Genomic DNA, 19,928 nt, shown 5'->3' on the forward strand with positions numbered 1-19,928 from the left:
GGAAGTCCTTCAGGATGACAGGCTATATTTTGTATACATGCACAGTGATGCTCTGAGCTATAGTGGAGCCTGAAGCAAAAGGAAGAGTTAGTGATTCTGATGCTGTCTCTGTTTTAAAATGTTGATGTTTGGTTCATGGGTGTGTGTGTGTGTGTGTGTGTGTTTTGTTGCATTGGTTTTGTTTTAAAAATATTCCATTAAAACGTTGTTGTTTTTGTTGTTGTTGATCTTGATTACTGCGTTTTTTGACAACCTCTTTAACGTTGCACATGTCTTACCCTATCCTGGGTGGGGTCCAAGTGTACATTGTAGAGAGCTTTATGTATAGCAGGCTCTCAATACATGTTTTGTTGGGTATATTATTCTGTTCTCCCTGAAAGATGTGATCAAGTTTTTATTCTTTTTCAGGTATCTTACAGCCATATAGATGTCAAAGTTGGAGTTTAAAAAAATTATTTTCCTTGTGGTTGGAGAGAATAGAATCAGAAAAGAAAATTTAGAAATAAGAAAGTGTTACTGGCTTAGAAGTATTTTACTTTACCTTAACCCCACTGAATATAGAGCATAGAGAGATTGAAAACTGGAATTCTGTGGAGAAATTAAATAGAAAAGATTTAAAGAAATTAAATGGATAAGTCTTATGTATTGGCTTGCTTTGTCAGTTATTCAGAACATTGTGTATACTCAAAATACTAAACCTACTCAAGCTACTCTATTTTAATGGAGTTTGAGAACAACCTCTTAAAAAATCATTTAGTGAACTATCTGCAGTATATTGTGAATCTTGGCTTAAGAATGATGTATATTTCTTTCTTCTAATGTGGGTATATAATTATAAATGTTAAAGTGTATTTTAACATTGGCTATAGCATTTTCATAAGGAATTAAGCATTTACTTGTTGAAAGATTATATGCTAAGCAGAATTTGCTTGTGTAAAACTTTTAAATTCCTTTTCATTGAAAATATTCAGATTGATAGTCTTCTAAATTTATGGTTCAAACAAATTAGTTTTAGAACTTTCCACAAAATTTGAATGGCTAGAGTAAGCTAAATAGCTTTTTCCTCTAGTAAAATACTCTCAACTTGGTATGATTAAGTATCAGTGGTAGGTGGTTTATCAGAGGCAAGAGAGCATATATTGTTCTAAGGATTTCTTTCCAAATCTTTTATGATTTATCCTTTTATTTATATTTACACATATGTTTGTCAAAAATATCAGAAACACAGCATTTTCAACAGATGTTATTGGAACTGAACAAACTCAGTTTTTCAGTTTTTATATAAAAGAAACAATTGTATTTTAGTGCTATGTTATATTGAGGAAATTGACTATATATACCAAATTTTGTATTTTTAATAGAAAATTACAGCATGTAAACTTTGAATAGATGTAATATTCTTTGAAACTCATTTAAATTTTTATGTAAATTAAATTTTATATATATGGATTTTTATATAAAATCTTTTTAAAAGGATATTAACATTTTTAGGCCTATTCAAGCAGATTTACCTTTTATCAGCACTGCTGTATTCCTTATTCATCTAATGGTAGTTCAGAGCATGAAGAAGTTTAGGAAAGGTGATATCTGAGAATAATAGAAAAATAATATCCATAGGTTCCTTCCTTTAGGGCCTTAGAGTTTATCTGAGGAATAGAGTAGTGCATGTGATGAAGGTTTTAAAGTAGAGTGTTAGAGCTGTGGGTCATACTAGAATAATAGAAAAATTGGTCAGAGAGAATGAGTTGATCTGATGATGAGGTAAGAGAGTTCTGTGGAGCTGAAGATTAGTTTCAGTTGCTAAGTTGTTACTTGTTTCTAATCTTACAGATTGTTTTAGCTTGAGAATGTGTAAAATGGGTAGATCTCTTTGAACAAGCTTTTTCCCTAAAGAGTGTAGACTTGGCCGGGCATGGTGGCTTATGCCTGTAATCTCAGCACTTTGGGAGGCCAAGGCGGGCGGATCACGAGGTCAGGAGATGGAGACCATCCTGGCTAACATGGTGAAACCCCGTCTCAGCTAAAAATGCAAAAAATTAGCTGGGCATGGTGGCACGTGCCTATAGTCTCAGCTACTCAGGAGGCTAGACAGGAGAATCACTTAAACCTGGGAGGCAGAGGTTGTAGGGAGCCGAGATCGCGTCACTGCACTCCAGCCTGGGTGACAGAGTGAGACTCCATCTCAAAAAAATAAATAAATAAAATAAAAGAGTATAGACTTTAGAATAAGGTAAATTTAATTATTTCAGTAATTAGCATTTCTCAAACAACACAAAAGCACTACTATAAAATATAGAAATATTTTCTGTACCTCTTTTTTCAATTCTTGCCTGTGTGTGATTTTCTTTTTAACAGGAAATCAAACCCCAAAGCCATTATAACCATGGATATGGTGAACCTCTTGGACGGAAAACTCATATTGATGATTACAGCACATGGGACATAGTCAAGGCTACACAGTAAGGTTTTTGTTGTAGTTGTTTTCTTTGGCATGTGTATTTCAAGTGAAATATGAATCTGAATAACAGTCATATTACTTTGGGAAAAACATCAGTATATCTCAATTAAAAAATTAGTTTATGGGCCGGTTGCGGTGGCTCACACCTGTAATCTCAGTACTTTGCAAGGCCGAGGAGGGTGGATCACCTGAGGTCAGGAGTTTGAGACCAGCCTGGCCGACATGGTGAAACCCCGTCTCTACTAAAAATACAAAAAATTAGCCAGGCATGGTGGTGGATGCCTATAATCCCAGCTATTTGGGAGGCTGAGGCGGGAGAATCGCTTGAACCCAGGAGGCGGAGGTTGCAGTGAGCCGAGATTGCGCCACTGTGCTCCAGCCTAGGCAACAAGAGTGAAACTCTGCCACACACACACACACACACACACACACACACACACACGAAAATTTAGTTTATTTCCCATTGGATAATTGAATAGGTCTGTTTGCTTTTGGTACTTGCTGATCTTTCCAGAAGTATACTATTAGGCCCTGAGAATATTAAGGTTACTTATGGTGAGTTGGAAAACATTGTTGGAATTAAAGCACTTTAAATGGAAACCATCAGTGTGCATCCAATATTCTCCCGCCCGCAACCAGGTACACAGATTAGAAATAAAACGTAGTTAATGTCATATTTACTTATTTAACCCGTGCTAAGGGAAATATCACAGTTTTCTAAAATATCGTCAAAATACCAGATTATCAGTCTTCGAGATAGGCAAAGGAAAAGGACAAATCTGACTTTTTATAATGCAAAGTATATGGAAGTTGAAATAACAACAGTTATTTTCATCTGCAAAGAGGAGAAACTAGTTCATAGATTCTTGAGCTTTAAGAATTGTCTGAAATTGGACAGATGTGGAAGTTCATGCCTGTAATCCTAAAACTTTGGGAGGCCAATGTGGGAACATCACTTGAGATCAGGAGTTTGAGACCAGCTTGGGCAATAGAATGAGACCCTGTCTCTGCAAAAAAAGAAAAAAAAAAAAAGTAGGGCATTGTATTACTCCGTTCTCTCACTGCTATAAAGAAATACCTGACACTGGATAATTTATGAAGAAAAGAGGTTTAATTGGCTTATGATTCTGCAGGCTGTACAGGAAGCATAGCGGCTTCTGCTTCTGAGGAGTCTTCAGGAAACTTTACAATCATGGTGGGAGGTGAAGGGGAAGCAGGTACATCTGAACCTGGCTGGAGCATGAGGAAGAGAGAGTGGGGAGGAGGTATTGCACATTTCCAAACAACCAAATCTCATGAGAACTCTATGACAAGAACAGTACCAAAGGGATGGTGCCAAAGCATTCATTAAGGATCCACCCCCTTGATCCAGTCACCTCTCACCAGGCCCCATCTCCAACATTGGGGATTACAATTGAACATAAGATTTGGGTGTGGACACAGATCCAAACCATGTCAGGCGTGATGGCACACTCCTGTGGTCCCAGCTACTCGGAAGGCTGAGGTGGGAGGACCGCTTGTGCCTGAGAATTCGAGGCTGCAGTGAGATATAGTCATGCCAATACACTCCAGCCTGGGCAAAGGAGTGAGACCCCATCTCAAAAAAAACAAGCAAAAAAAGAATTCTCTGAAGTTCATTGCATCCCACAGAATTAATAGTCATATTTCCTTAGGATGTGTATTTTTCTTGGTCTTTTTGATCATCTGCATATTTACTTCAAGAAGAAAGCATAAAGTGGTATCTGTTATGCCAGTAGGTCAACTAAGTAAAACAATATTTTTTATTTGTTTTGTGAAATTATGAAATAACTCTTTCTTAATATAAAGACTTGGTGTGCTTTTGGTCTCTTAATATCCATTCTGTAGAGTTCTGGAAACCTTAACACTACTCAGTGCAAACCAAATTTCAGAATAATGTGATCTTTATTACAACTTGCTGAGGACATGTGAATTACTTAACATTCTTACCTGGGCTCCAGGAAGAGCTTCAGACTTCCCTGAATGCCTTGGAATTATATACAGAATTCTGCGTGTTGGAGCATGTTTCTGGGTAGAGTCTGTGACTTTCATTGCATTTTTGAAGAGGTCTGTGATCACCAAAAAGATTAAAAATGATCTGAACAATTTGATTTTAAGGTGATCTCATCTTTTGCGTGAGCTTTGAGTGCAACAACATAGAGAAATCCAGTGACAGCTATAAAGATTGTGTTTCTGTTTTCTTTTGTAGGTTTGTTTGTTTTTAGGTTTAAATAGGCTATCTTATCTAAATACAGGTTGAGTCCCTTATTCAAAATGCCTGGGACCAGAAGTGTTTTGGATTTTGGATTTTTTTGGATTTTGGAATATTTGCACATACACAATGAGAGATCTTTGGGGTGGGACTCAAGTCTAAACATGTTTGTTTATGTTTCATATACACATAGCCCGAAGGTACTTTTATACAATGTTTTTTATGTTTTATGCACCTGTCACATGAGGTCGTGTGTAGTATCTTCCATGTGTGGTATCATGTGCTCAAAAAGTTTAGGATTTTGGAATACTTCATGTTTTGGATTTTTGAATTAGAGATGCCCAACCTGTACATGGTTTTTATTAGAATGATACATGTAATCTTGTTTTTTCTACACATAAAGCAACAACAGAAACTAGACAGACAAAACCCCAAAGTTTGTGTCTTCAGAATGTCGTTTATTTTGTTCGTAGTCTTCCCTTTTCCACTTGATATTTGCTTAGGAATTGTTAATTATTTACAGTGGGAAGAAGAGGCACAGTACTACATTTTGATACATAAGTTCAATTCACTTTTAAAAATACATGAATCCAGGCTGGCCACAGTTTCCTTAAGTTCTGTGTTTCCTTACTTACGTCTAGTTCTTGCATCCATTATTGAGAGTTGTGGTATTGAAGTCTCTAGCTCTTACTGTAGAACTATCTGTTTCTCTCTTCAGTTCTGTCAATTTTTGCTTCAAATATTTTGATGATGTTATTAGGTTAAATGTTCAATGCTTTTAATTTATAATTGTTGTATCTTCTTGCTGCATTGAACCTTTTATTAATATGTAATGTCTTTGTCTTTTGTAACCATTCTTGATTTAAAGTTTATTGTCTGATATTAGTGTAGCCACTCTTGCTCTCCTCTGGTTACTATTTGCATGGAATTTCTTTTTTCATCCTTTAATTTCCCACTCATTTGCCTTTGGATCTAAAGTGTGTCTGTTGTAGATAGCGTATAGTTGGGTCTTTTTTACCCCAGTCTGTTCTGCCAAACTGTCTTTGGGTTGGAGAGTTTAATCCATTTACATTTAAAGTAATTACTAATAAAGAGGGACTTCTGTCATTTTGCCATTTCTTTTTTTTTTTTTTTTTTTTTAGACAGAGTCTTGCTCTATCGCCTAGGCTGGAGTGCCATGGCGCAATCTCAGCTCATTGCCATCTCCGCCTACTGAGTTCAAGCAATTCTCCTGCCTCAGCCTCCTAAGTAGCTGGGATTTCAGGCATGCACCACCACGCCCAGCTAATTTTTGTATTTTTAGTAGAGACGGGGTTTCACCATGTTGGTCAGGCTGGTCTCAAACTCCTGACCTCGTGATCCACCCTCCTCGGCCTCCCAAAGTGCTGGGATTACAGGCGAGAGCCACCGCACCTGGCCAGCATTTGTTTTCTATATGCCATATAGCTTTTTTTCCCTCTCATTTCCTGCATTACTGTTTTTTTTTTGTGTGTTTAGTTCAATTTTTGTAGTGAAATGTTTAAGTTTCTCATTCCTTTCGTGTATGTCCTATAGCTACTTTTCTTTGCGGATACTATGGATATTACATTTAACATCCTAAAGTTGGGCCGGGCACGGTGGCTCATGCCTGTAATCCCAGCACTTTGGGAGGCCAGGGCGGGTGGATCACAAGGTCAGGAGATCGAGACCATCCTGGCTAACATGGTGAAACCCCGTCTCTACTGAAAATACAAAAAAATTAGCCGGGCATGGTGGTGGGTGCCTGTAGTCCCAGCTACTCGGGAGGCTGAAGCAGGAGAATGGCGTGAACCTGGGAGGCGGAGCTTGCAGTGAGCCGAGATCGCGCCACTGTGCTCCAGCCTGGGCTACACAGCAAGACTCTGTCTCAAAAAAGAAAAAAAAAATCCTAAAGTTATAACACTAATTTGAATTTATGTTACTGAATTTATACAGATTAATGCCAATAACTTAATAAACTGTGCTCCTTTACAGCCTCATCTATACGCTTTTTAGTTGTTGATGTCACAGAACTGCATATGTATACATTGTATTTCCAACAGACATAAAGTAATAATTATTTTAAATGCATTGGTCTCTAAAATTATATAGAAACAATATGTAGACACACAGACCAAAATTACAATAATACTAGTGCTTAATAATTTTTAAATTAATGTATTAGTCTCTTAAATCAAGTAGAAAACAAAAAGCGGAGTTACAAATTATTGTTACGTCATACTAGGTTTTGTAATTGCCCATGTATTGACTTTTTATTGAGATCTTTATTTTTTCATATGCCTTTGAGTTACTGTCTAGTGTCCCTTAATTTCACCTGGCAGGTCTCCTTTGTTCAATTCTTGCAGGGCAGGTCCAGTGGTAACAGATTCTCTCAGTCATTATTTGGGAATGTCTTAATTTCTTCCCCTCTTTTGAAGGACAATTTTGCTGAATATAGGATTTTTGGTTGGCATTGGTTTTCTTTTAGCGCTTTGGATATGTCAGCCTGTTACCTTCTGGCCTCCAAAGTTTCTGATGAGAAATCTTCTGATAATCTTATTGAGGATCCTTGTATGTGACCAGTTGCCTCTCTCTCGTTCCTTTCAAGGTTCTCTCTGTCTTTGTCTTTCAAAAGTTTGATTATAATATGTCTCAGTGTGGGTGTCTTGGAGTTCCTTTTACGTTGACTTCATTGATGTTTATATTCAAATTTAGGAAGTTTTCAGCTATTATTTTTTCAAATATTCTCTCTGTCCCTTTCTCTCTCTCTCTTTTCCTGGAACTTCCACAATGTGTGTGTTGTTCTACTTAATGGTGTCCCACAGGTCCCTTAGACTGTCTTCACTTTCCTTCGGTCTTTTTTCTTTCTGCTCCTCACACTTGATAGTAATTGCTATTGCTTTGTCTTCATGTTTGCTGATTCCTTCTTCTGTCTTTGAAGACATTTCTGTCTCATTTCTGTCTTTGAATCCATATAATGACTTCAGTTATTGTACGTTTTAGTTCTAGAATTTCTTTCTGGTTTCTTTTTAGGTATTTTATCTTTTTATGAGTGCAGGTGCTACGAGCTTACATTGATTTGAGTTTTCCACCACTGCAAAAGTGGTACATATTCAGTAGAAATCATGCTTCAAGTATGACCCATACAGCCGTTCTTTTTTTTGTTTTGTTTTTACTTTCAGTACAGTATTCAATAAATTACATGAGGCCAGGCACAGTGGCTGACACCTGTAATCCCAGCTCTTGGGAAGGCTGAGGTGGGCAGATCGCTTGAGCCCAGGAGTTCAAGACCAGCCTGAGCAATATGGTGAAACTCCATCTCTACTAAAAGTACAAAAAAAGAGCCAAGCATGGTGGTGCACACCTGTGGTCCCAGCTACTAGGGAGGCTGAGGTGGGAGGATTGCTTGAGCCCTGGGGGTGGAGATTGCAGGAAGCTATGATTGTGCCACTGCACTCCAGCCTCAGTGACAGACTGAGACCCTGTCTCAAAAAAGAAAAAAAAAATTACATGAGATATTTATTATAAAATAGGCTTTGTCTTAGATGATTTTGTTCAGAGTCTGTCATTGTCCTTTCCCGCATTGTGGAGGTCACATCCCAGAGCAATCCCCTCGTTCTCTGTAGGGAATATGAATCATTCCTCTTGCCTCTCTAGGCAAGGGGCAGAGTTCAGTAAGCCTGTGGGAGAATTCTCGACTTATACCCACATCATAAACGTCATCTGCTGAGGCAATGGTAATTACTCAGCTCTCCATATACCCTGGGCTGATGATGTCTGGTGGTATTGTGGGAGAAGGAACCTCTGTAACTTGTTACCATCCAGTTGGACCGGGACTTGTGCTTTAGTCCATTTGGCCATTCCCTTCACCCTGGTATTCCATAAGATAACCATAAATACAGATGGCCACCAAAACCAGAGAGATTTGACAAATTCTTTTAATCCCGTTATATATATGTTGACTTGATAGGAGTCCCTAGGGGGTGCATGATGAATTTAAGGCCCGAAACCAAATAGCTGCTGGGTTTGAATCAGCACTCTTCTGGTGGTCAACTATTAGTGAGAATGTGAATTGGATTACCTCCATCTATTATAATCCACAGATTCATCAGTTATACTTGGGATGCCCTCAAAGGGGTGACTAGCTAGTTAAATGCCATCAGCCGAATGGCCTGGAAAACCCAGCTTGCACTAGACATGATACTAGCAGAAAAAAAGGGGCATATGTGTGATGCTGGGTGGGAAATGTACTTTTATTCCCAACAATACTCTCCCAGATAGGATCATCACAAAAGCTTTACAAGGTTTGACAACTCTAGCTAGTGAGCTGGCAGAGAATGCTGGAATTGATGACCCATTTACAGGTTGGCTAAAAGGTTGGTTTGGAAAATGGAAAGGCATGGTAGCTTCAGTCCTTACATCTCTCATAATTGTGGCAGAAGTCTTACCAGCAGTGGGATGTTGTATTATCCTTTGTGTGAGGGGACTAGCACAGAGATTAATTAAGACAGCTATTAATAAACAAATGCCCATAACTTACCAGCAAAATAACCTGCTACTATTAAAAACCAAATTAGACTCACTCTCCTATGAGGAAGATAGTAAATGACTTCTAGAGTGATTCAAGGACCAAAAGGGTTCAAATGAAAATGAAACTAAAAGAAGTAAATAGAAAAGAGAAGGGAATTTGTGAGAAAACATTTTAAATGGTCCATTTTCAAGGCATGATAAACCTAAGCACTGGCAGCCAGCCTGCGAATGTAACAAATTACATGGCTTATGCACCTAGTGGGTCACAATAAGTGAACAGAATGTAGAGGAGGGGTCAGCCCATAAAAGGGAAGAAAGTTTCATTATTGTGAAATCAAAACTTAAGCGTGGAAAAGGACGGGGTAAGGGGGATAATAAAACTTAGGCGGCGTCTGGGAAGATTGCAACCCCATAGTACTCGACCAGTGAGGAGCTGGGGGAGGGACTTGTGTGCTAGGAGATAAATTGCCTGCTGTAGCTGCCCTGGGTGTGTCTGCCTACCAGACACCTGATATTACAAGACTGCTATTGAAAGTCTCACTTTCGCCTTTCCTCGTGCCTCTTGGTCCATTCTTTGGGTTTGGACTGATGAGTGTGTTTCTCACACTGGGGCTTATATAACATCCTTTCTTCTTGATACTCTTCTAAATCATTTATATGCATCTTGTTACTGATTTTTATATATTTAATATTTTTTAATATGTGTGTATTTTTTACAGTCTGCCTTAAGAGTTTGGTGGGATAAGTGGTAATAAAGCAACTGATTGAAATTTTATTTCTGGTATACTTTTTTCTTTCATATAGTGAGATTTTACATTCTTATAAGTGAGACATTTTAGAACTGTAAAATGGATTAGTAAAAGTTTTTGGAATGTTGACATTTTAAAAGTAATATTCTATGTTGAGAAATACATTTTAATTTCCTAGTATCAAAATGAGGAATTATTTTCATCTCAAAATGTTATTTTTAACTTTACATTTCTTGTTAAATAATAACAATGCCATATTTTCTTTCTTTTCTAGATATGGAATATATGAACGCTGTCGAGAATTGGTGGAAGCAGGTTATGATGTACGGCAACCGGACAAAGAAAATGTTACCCTCCTCCATTGGGCTGCCATCAATAACAGAATAGATTTAGTCAAGTATGTATTTTCTCTATTTTTAATTATTAGAACTTGACTTTTTATGGTTATAAAATTAATAGAAGTAATTGTTATAAAAACTAATACTTTCTAAAATTCATGGCTTTTAGAAGATAGATTCTGTGTACCTTGTTTTTCTGAAAAAGAAAAATTGCTTTTAACTTATATTGAATGCTTATATTAGCCAAGTACTGTACTGAGTACTTTTCCATATATGTTTTCTTTACTTCTTAATTCTTAATATAACCGTATATGAAATATAACAATTGTTACTGTCCTACTGCTGGCAAAACTGAAGCACAGACAGTTTAAATATACTACCCAGTGACCCACAGCTAATAAAGGTTGGAGTCAGGACCTGAACTCAGGCAGTCTGACTTGGTGTTCACATTCCAAATGTGGATTCTGTGGAGAAAACAGCAAAAGGAAAGTTGAAATGATAATAGGTAATAATAATCTGATTTAACTGTTCACACCAGCATAAGTGATGAATACTTTGCATACTAAGTGTAAAATGATTTTTATCCATCACTGTTAATGTTTGTTTAGTATTAATAAGAAATAGTTAGATAATCAAGAGTCAGGATGATAGGAAATCTCAGCAAATCTTGTTTAGTAGTCTTTTGACACTTTGGACACAAAATATTTACAGAAAGACATGAAATTTTGTTGTTGAGATGGGTTCTTACTCTCTCACTCAGGTTGGAGTGTAGTGGTACAATCTTGGCACACTGCAGCCTCGCCTCCCAGGCTCAAGCGATCCTCCCACCTCATACTCCCGAGTAGCTTGGAGCACAGGCGAATACCACCACACCCAACTAATTTGTGTTTTTTTGTTTTTGTTTTTGTTTTTTTTGAGATGGGGTTTTGTTCTCGTTGCCCAGGCTGGAGTGTAATGGCTCAATCTTGGCTCACCGCAACCTCTGCCTCCTGGGTTCAAGCAATTCTCCTGCCTCAGCCTCCCGAGTAGTTGGGATTATAGGCGGGTGCCAATAGTAAATGACGTATAGAGTGATTCAAGGACCAGAGGGTTTAAATGAAAATGAAATATAGGCCTGCGCCTATATAAATATAGGCATATGCCACCATGCCCAGCTAATTTTTTTTATGTTTTTAGTAGAGATGGGGTTTCTCCATGTTCATCAGGCTGGTCTCGAACTCCCGCCCTCAGGTGATCCACCCGCCTCGGCTTCCCAAAGTGCTGGGATTACAGGCGTGAGCCACTGTGCCTGGCCCGAATTTTTTGTATTTTTGGTAGAGACAGGGTTTCGCCGTGTTTCCCAGGCTGGTCTCAAACTCCTGAGCACAGGCAGTTCAACTACCCTGGCCTCCCAAAATGCTGGAATTACAGGCATTTGCCTCTGCGCCTAGCCAACACAAATGTAAAATGAACTAAATGAACTACTTGCTATGTTAAGTGCAACACACGGAGTGTAGAGACAAGTTGGATATTAATGCCAGGTAAGAGAATTCACCCTGAATTGCTACATTTTCAGTGCAGTGTCTCACTGTTCTCTAATTTAATTCCTGAGTCTCAAACTTTGAGGGTAAAGGTGCACTAAACGTACCTCTTGGCAAATGCAGAATGGTTGTGTGTTAAAATCAACATGGGACTGACACTGAAGTCAGAAATTGCCATCATATAATGAAGTTTAGGGACACAAGAATGAATCTGGACTTTAAGAGTTTGAATTTTAACTATAATTCTATTAAAAACTTGAGTAGCAGCATCTTAAGATTTAACATTATGGTGTACAAAGAAAGCGTTCGAGCACTGTCAGCTGCGTGATTGCTTCCATGTCAGTAAAACACTTATTTGTGATGCTAAGTAACTACTGACTTTCAGCGGGAATATATGCTAGAAAACACAATTTTTCTGCAATGTATTTATATTGACTTTCAACCATTGTTTCTGTTTACAGCCCAGGTACTTACTAAATATTTGTTGGTATCAGTTGTTCGTTGATGGTCCCTTCTGAAAACCTAGGATCATTAGTACCTGCCATAACATTGTTTGATAAAACCTTCTTAACAGTATATTGAGCAAAGAGGCTCAAGATTAAGAATTGTGCAATCTCAGAAGTTTGTAGTTTTGAGCTAAGGTCTTATAGCTACACGAAATAACATGTTATAAAAATATAATACTGAGAAGTTTACAATGAAAAGTAATAGAAGTTATTCTTTTTTTAGGATGCAGAAAAGTTCCCTCTCCTTGTGAAGAAAAAAAAGTTGTGCTTTAGAATCAGTTTGGAAATTGCTCACTGACATGGACCTAGTGATGATTTAAATTCTGCCATATGTCAGTAAAAATGAATCTCAGGAACAGTTGACTATAGAGAAGGGGATGAAATTGCTTTAGAAAAATTCTAGTTACGATTTTTAATAAAATATCATTTCCTACGAGAGTGGTTATTTTGGCTGAGCTTTGGGTTCTAGCCTACCCATTCTCAAAGAACATTTTCAGCATTATATATAATGTTTACCAAGTATCTTTAAAATGGATTCAGGAATAATTAAATGTTTGCGTTATTAATAGTTTAATATTCTGGAAATACTTTGTTAGGTTACTTTGAACCATTTTGCATGATAGAGTGGAATTGGGCCCTTCATTGCATAATGCTTTAAAAGCACCAATTTAAACAAATACTTATTTGCAGCCACAAATTTCTGAATTAAACACATAAGCATGAATAATCACAGGTTAAGAGCTATGTACATTAAGAGTAAATGCATTACTGATCTAGAGCAGTAATCAGAACAGTTTAAGAGTATACATATGTCAAGTATTTGATATCATATACCTTGGAATCATTTATATTCAGGATTCACTGCGTTAATTATTCCCAAAGAAAGCATTATAATGAACAGCTAGATCTTGTTCACTTCAGAAGCTATCAAGATGCTATGACAGCAGGGTGCGGCCGCTCACTCCTGTAATCCCAGCACTTTGGGAGTCCAAAGTAGGAGGATTGTTCAAGTCCAGGAGTTGGAGACCTGCCTGGGCAACATAGTGAGATGCTATCTTTCTCTCTCTCTCCCCCTCTCTCAAAAAAAGATATTATGATGTTAATATTAAGCTTACTAATCTAATACTAAAGTTGCTATTTCCTTTTCAAGCAACATGGCTTTAAAGGCACAAGAAATAACAAGGCATAGTAAAGAACCTTTATGTTATGTGTATATTATTTGATTTAATCTACAGTAATCTTAAGGAAAGTAAGGCTTAAAAAGCTGAGCTACCCAAGGTAGACCATGTCTTGCCTATTCTGCAACTATTCTAATTTCAAGTTTCTATATGCTACTATTCAAATCTTTGTAGTTCCTTGAGTACCTTCTTTTTTACGTGATTTTTTTGGCATTTTTATTCTTTTTTTTTTGTAACTTAAAAATTATTTTTCTTTTCCTTATTCTAGAACAAAAGAGGTATTTGATATAAAATTCTGCTAAATATGTTTTTTAAACAACCACAAAAGATTATTTATTTTCAAAGGTTCAAACTAGCATGAGATCTGAAATAGAAAACATGTATTTACATATTTTTCACAAAATTTCTTAAAATTGAAAATGAAAGTTATTTAAATTATTATAAATTTTGTCTTATAGATACTATATTTCGAAAGGTGCTATTGTGGATCAACTTGGAGGGGACCTGAATTCAACTCCATTGCACTGGGCCACAAGGTTTAAATTTGCTTCTGGATTTTTTTCCTTTGGTTCCTTTATTAGTATATAAATAAACAACTTTAAAAAAATGATATACTAAAATGAATAGGAGAGCTTATTATGCCGTTAGTTAATATCATAAATATGCTGATGTTTTATTGTGAAATATTACCTGTAAAGAAGCAAAAGTTTATTGTCCAAAGTTTCCCTGGCCATGCTGATATTAATTCAGTTAGTTATAAGATTGGATTAAACTTTGGATTTCTAAACGTAATATTTTTGCAGCCTGTATATATTTACAATGAAAGAATTAGCTCATTTCTTGGGATGATTGAGATAATATTAGAATGGACATAATAGAATATAGTAATTATTTACTATATATTTAAATAAGTTATGAGTACTTCCATACATTTTCAGACTGTTAATCTAGTTAAGACTTCTAAGAACCATAAAATCCTAAATGTATTTTGACATGTATCTATTTTAAAATAACTTTTCAAAATACATACGTAATCTTCCCACCATACCTTACTTGAAAAAGCTCTTCCCAGAGGATCCTGTTTGAAATAACTTTATATATCTAAGTGTTTATTCTTTTATGTTTTAGACAAGGCCATCTATCCATGGTTGTGCAACTAATGAAATATGGTGCAGATCCTTCATTAATTGATGGAGAAGGATGTAGCTGTATTCATCTGGCTGCTCAGTTCGGACATACCTCAATTGTTGCTTATCTCATAGCAAAAGGACAGGTAAAAAAAATCTCAGTGGTATGGATTTTAATCAGATGTTCTTCATAGTTTAAATGCCTAATATTATTGGTGTTGTAACAAGCCGTTGATATTTAAATAGCACTTTCTGATGGGTGAAGAACATAAATATAGTGAGTTTGATATGGAGATATTTAATGTACCTAACATAAAAGCCAGCATGAAAATCATGAACCAGATAATGATGAAGTTGGGTTTTTTATTTCTAAGAGTAATGGAGATAAAGCTCAGAAATTAAGAGAGAAAATATAAGTATCTATTTTTTCTTTATGTATTTTGAATATATCATCTGAATTCATCCAAACTTTTTTGAACTTATTTATTGGTTATTTTATATATTAAATATCTCTTGAGAGGGATACATTTTTTAAGATCAGTTTCTGCTGTATAAGATAATGCTGCTTCTTACTTGTCAGAAAAACATCATATTTTAAGTGGTTGTTCCTGATTTTTCTTGAGTGTGCAGTGACCATAATCACATTAAATATTACCAGTTTATATAATCATGTTTTTGTAATAAACGTATTTTGTTAAAAGTAATGTCACCCAGTTTTTCTTTAGTGTGTTTTTTCTGGTTATATTTGAACATTAATTTTATAAGTAAGGATCTCATCACAAGAATAACTTTAAGATATATGTATTTAATTTGTTGCTATCAACATGTATTTATTGTTAATTTAAAATTCTATGCGGATTTAGAATTTGAATACTATTTCTTTTAATGAAGGTTTTACAGTATTTGTTGTTGGCAGTCTCAAGCAGTGGCAGTTGTGTTGTGCATTATAGTTTAGGAAAAGAGGCATAGACTGATAAAGTTAATTGCTGGAAGGGGAGGGGGGGTTATTGTCTGTTACTGTGTTAAAAAACTACTGCCAAAATCTAATGGCTTAAGAACAATACCAACCAATTAATACGTCTCACAATTTTGTGGGCTTGGCTGGATGGTTTTTCTCCTTGGCTGGTGGCTGCAGTTGTCTGGCGGCTTGACTGAGCTGGAAGATTGGCTCACATATCTTGTGACTTGATAGGAATGGCTACAAACTGCTTAACTGGGAGGCTGGGGCAGCGAGGCCTCTTTCTTTCTCTATGTAGTGTCAGAACTTCTACTTTTCAATACCAGTCCATGTGGTCTTTCCAGCAGGAGAACTAGACTTCTTACATATTGGCTTAGAGCTCCCAAAAGAACAAAAGTAGAAGCTGTTTTGCATTTTTAAGTCTTAGGTCTTGAACTGACACAGCAACGTTTTTTCTCCATTCTATCAGTTAAAGTGAGTTAACAAGGGCCATAACCACCCGGAGGGAAGGGACCACACAAGGGTGTGAATACCAAGAGGCCAGGTTTATGGGGGGTCATCTGGAGAGCAACTGCTATAGGAGATTATTCTTGTTATTCTGCAGTTTTTTTCTAGAACAAACGTTGAAGCAGTAAATGGTGCTATAGCACATCACAAGGTCTTTAGTGGCCTTCCATATTGCAGAATAAATCTACAATACACATTCACTTTTTTACTTTCAGTTTTTAACTGGGAAAGAAAGGTGGTGTACATTTTTGAGTCTTCATGGTCTTTTTTTTAACTTATTGATTTTGGAGTTTGGATTATTTCATTAATCTTTTTAACCTCTGGTATAGTATATAGGCTATAAAATTCTCAAAGGGCAGGATTTCTACCTGTCAGTGCTTTTGGTACAAAAAGGGCATGATGATGATAATGATGATGATAAATGTCTGAGAAATAGTTTTTTTTTTCCATGAGTAAATTTTTTTTCTGCACACAAAGATAATAAATGTTTATTATGAAATATTCAGGCATAATAGAATATGACTTAGAAAATGAAATCTCACCTCTCCCCTTGGCCATCTGCTGACTGAGGTTACTTCCTTTAATAATGTAGTATGTATTTTAAGAGATTTTATTCCATGTACAGATTAAGCATCTGTAATCTGAAAATCCGGAATGCTGCGAAATCCAAAACGTTTTGAGTGTCAACATGATGCCACAAGTGGAAAATTTTACCCCTGACACCTTTGCTTTCCAATATAGTTCGTTGTACACACACTTTGTTTCATGTACAAAATTATTTAAAATATTGAATAAAATTGCCTTCAGGCTGTATGTATAAGGTGTATATGAAAGATGAATGAATTCCACATTTAGATTTTGGTCCCATTCTCAAGATTTTATTACATATATGCAAATATTTCAACATAGGAAAAACATACACATATTCAAACACTTCTGGTCCCAAGCATTTTACATAAAGGATACTCAACATGTATACACTAATATATTGTAAAAGACACTCTTCCAATGTGCATTGCATCATACTGTGAGGGCCCAGAGTTTTTCTCTGTGCTAGAGCACTGTGCCGTTTAACCCCTGGATACCTTTGAGCTCCACTTCTGCCATCTCCCCATCATCACTCTGCTTTAACTGCACTAGTTTTTTTTTGCTACTTTTTCAGCAACTCTGACATGCTGTTGTCTAAGGGCCTTTTGGTTGCTGTTTCTTCTGCTGGTATATTCTTTCCTCAGATAGTCACACAGTTTCTCTCTCTCTCTTCAGTCAGATGGTTGCTCAAATTTTATTAGTTCTGATTACATAGTTCCTAATTATAAGCAGTAATAAAATTAGCATATTTTTATTTCTTCTTCCCTTTCTCTTTTATCGACTGTAGTCAATAATATTGTTTTTCTTAATGTTAACTATGTTCTGATAAATTTTTACTACATTTTTATTACTTGATTTTTCAGCTTTAGATAGTTTTCTTTGATTCATGGCTACTATAGATGAGGCTCTCAGCATATTTTCATTTCAACCTTTTTCCATTTTCCCATTTTGTTGTTAATTATATCAATTTTACATTGTCAGGGTATATAACATTTCCATTCAGTTTTGTCATTCTATTCTTCACAATCGTTTTGTTTTAGTTATATTGTTAAATATATTTAGTGCTCACTACCAATTCTTTTGGATGATTTTCAGGAGAAAAAGGGGAAAATGCTAAGTTATGGAGCCCTGTTGATCATGGAATTCCCATAAGCTTTTGATCTGGGCTTGTTAATTCTTCCTAATAGAGAATACCCATACGTCCAGGCTGAACTTGGAAAAGAAGTACCAAGTTTTAAATCCCGACCCAAAGAGAGAAAAGGTTGAATTTCATTTTTCTTTTAGTACTCTAGAGATGTGCCATGATTTTACATTTTTTTATTTATTGATATTTTTAATACTATCATTTTTTAAAAAGGATATGAAAACACAACTAAGAAGAAGGAGAAACTTAAACATAAGAATTTACATGCTTGCTTTAATTAGACCTGAAATTTGGTTGAGGTCCTACGGAAATTAGGAGTAAAAGAAGTCACAATAGTTACTTCTCATATAAGAAATAAGGAAGTTTGTTGTTTCTTCAGAAAACATATTTTTTTTAAGCCACAGGATTATTTTAAAAAATGTACTTGCATATTGGAAATGTTGAGTGAGGTTGCAGAAGATATTCCTGACAACACTATTAAAGTAAATCCAGAAATGGATTTGTAATGGATAAGGCATAACATTCTATGACAGTATGCATGGTGAGTGACTAAGTTAATGACATCCAAGGAAATGCTTTACTTATCTAATGTAGTGGTTCTCAGATTTTTTTTCTTCAATATGCTTAGATAATGTTCACATTTGAGACATATTCCTATTGCTAACAGTGGCTCACAGAGAACTGATGCATAGAGATAGTGTTTTACAGTGTGCTTACTGTAACTCTCTGCTCTCTCCACTGATTGGTGAATTAGGTAACACAACTTGGATTAGAACTGCTTGCTTAATGTAATTCAGGAATGGGAGATGGGGTAGAGAAGAAGAAGAAACTTAATATTTATTGAATATCCATTATGTTCTCAGCTGTTGACTAGATGCTTTGCACACATTATTTAATCTTCACAGAAGTCTTATGAAGTTATTTGTATTTCACATTTTTTAATGAGGAAGCTAAGACTAAGAATTAAAGTAATTTAGCCTACAATCTCATAGCAATTATATGATGGAGCTAGGAAGTCAAAACCATGTCTTATTCTAAAGCCAAGCCTAGAAAAGTAGATAGATAAGCATGTCTTTTCCTTTAATAAATGGTTTTCGATCATCTACTCTGCTGGGCACTGAGAATACGAAGATGGATTTGAGATGATTTTTATTTTCAAAGTACTCCAGGTTAATGAGACACACATTTCAGGCATAGAGGATAATCAGTTCAGAATGGAGTGGGTTAGGAAAGGTAGTTTCAGAGCATTGAAACTGATAAGAGTCCCTGATACATCAGAAAGTCTTGCGCAAGGAGAATTAGATAACTAGGAAAGAGTTTCGGTTTAATAGGTGGAAGTTTTAGTTATAATTTGCTAAAAACTAAGTAGTAGTGGGGGAAAGATGGTGCCAGGGAAAGCAAAAAATTGAGTAGAAGAGGAAAAATAGTGGTTTATTACATGGTTTGGCTGGGAATAGTATTTATGCATATTTATAATAATACATATCAAGTATTAAATGTTTATATGAACCAGAATTACAATAGATCTCTTGAGAGGAAAGAATAGGAAAGGCGTGCATTTGTGATGTAGCAGAGAGGAAAGAGAAAAATTCAGATTTTTTGTACCAAGGAATTTCAGAATAATGCCTGAAACTGAAAAATCAAGAAGTAGCAATTCAAACATCTTATTTAAAGATATGGAGGTAAATATAAAAATAATGAGCCAAAAAATGGTGAAAATGGTGGGAAGTAAGGCAGGGGGATTGCTTTAGTGTGTTGCTTTTTCCACACAAACTGCAGAATCATTTAACTCTAAAAATGTACATGTGTAACAGTAAAAACTGAGTATATTAAAATGTCAGTTCTTTTTATTTTTTGTTTTGAAATGCCTAGGAATAAACAGTTTTGTCGTTCTCTCTTATGCATTAGTATAAACAAGTTTTTCAGAAACTTAATCACTTAACCTATCCTTTGTGGTTGAAAGGTCAGAATAGGTTAAGAATTTTAAATGTGAAACATTGAAAGGCTGATTAAAACATCTTAAAAGGGAATAATGTAAAAGCATGATATATGTTCACTAGAGTATATAGTGACAAGAGTTTCATTTTAAAGTTAAGAA

General features: G+C 35.8%; 1 protein-coding gene across 2 annotated transcripts in view; it reads left to right on the plus strand.

Moving 5' to 3' along the window:
* Nucleotides 1-19,928, plus strand: part of ZDHHC17 (zDHHC palmitoyltransferase 17) — an 89,587-nt gene that overhangs the window by 30,964 nt on the left and 38,695 nt on the right. For both annotated transcript variants that reach the window (NM_015336.4, NM_001359626.1), the window contains exons 2-5: nucleotides 2,356-2,459; nucleotides 10,239-10,361; nucleotides 13,965-14,042; nucleotides 14,635-14,779. In NM_015336.4, the coding sequence (NP_056151.2) occupies nucleotides 2,356-2,459; nucleotides 10,239-10,361; nucleotides 13,965-14,042; nucleotides 14,635-14,779 (450 nt within the window). The remainder of the gene's footprint in view (nucleotides 1-2,355; nucleotides 2,460-10,238; nucleotides 10,362-13,964; nucleotides 14,043-14,634; nucleotides 14,780-19,928) is intronic.

This window comes from Homo sapiens, chromosome 12 (assembly GCF_000001405.40).
Source record: "Homo sapiens chromosome 12, GRCh38.p14 Primary Assembly".
NCBI lineage: Eukaryota > Metazoa > Chordata > Mammalia > Primates > Hominidae > Homo > Homo sapiens.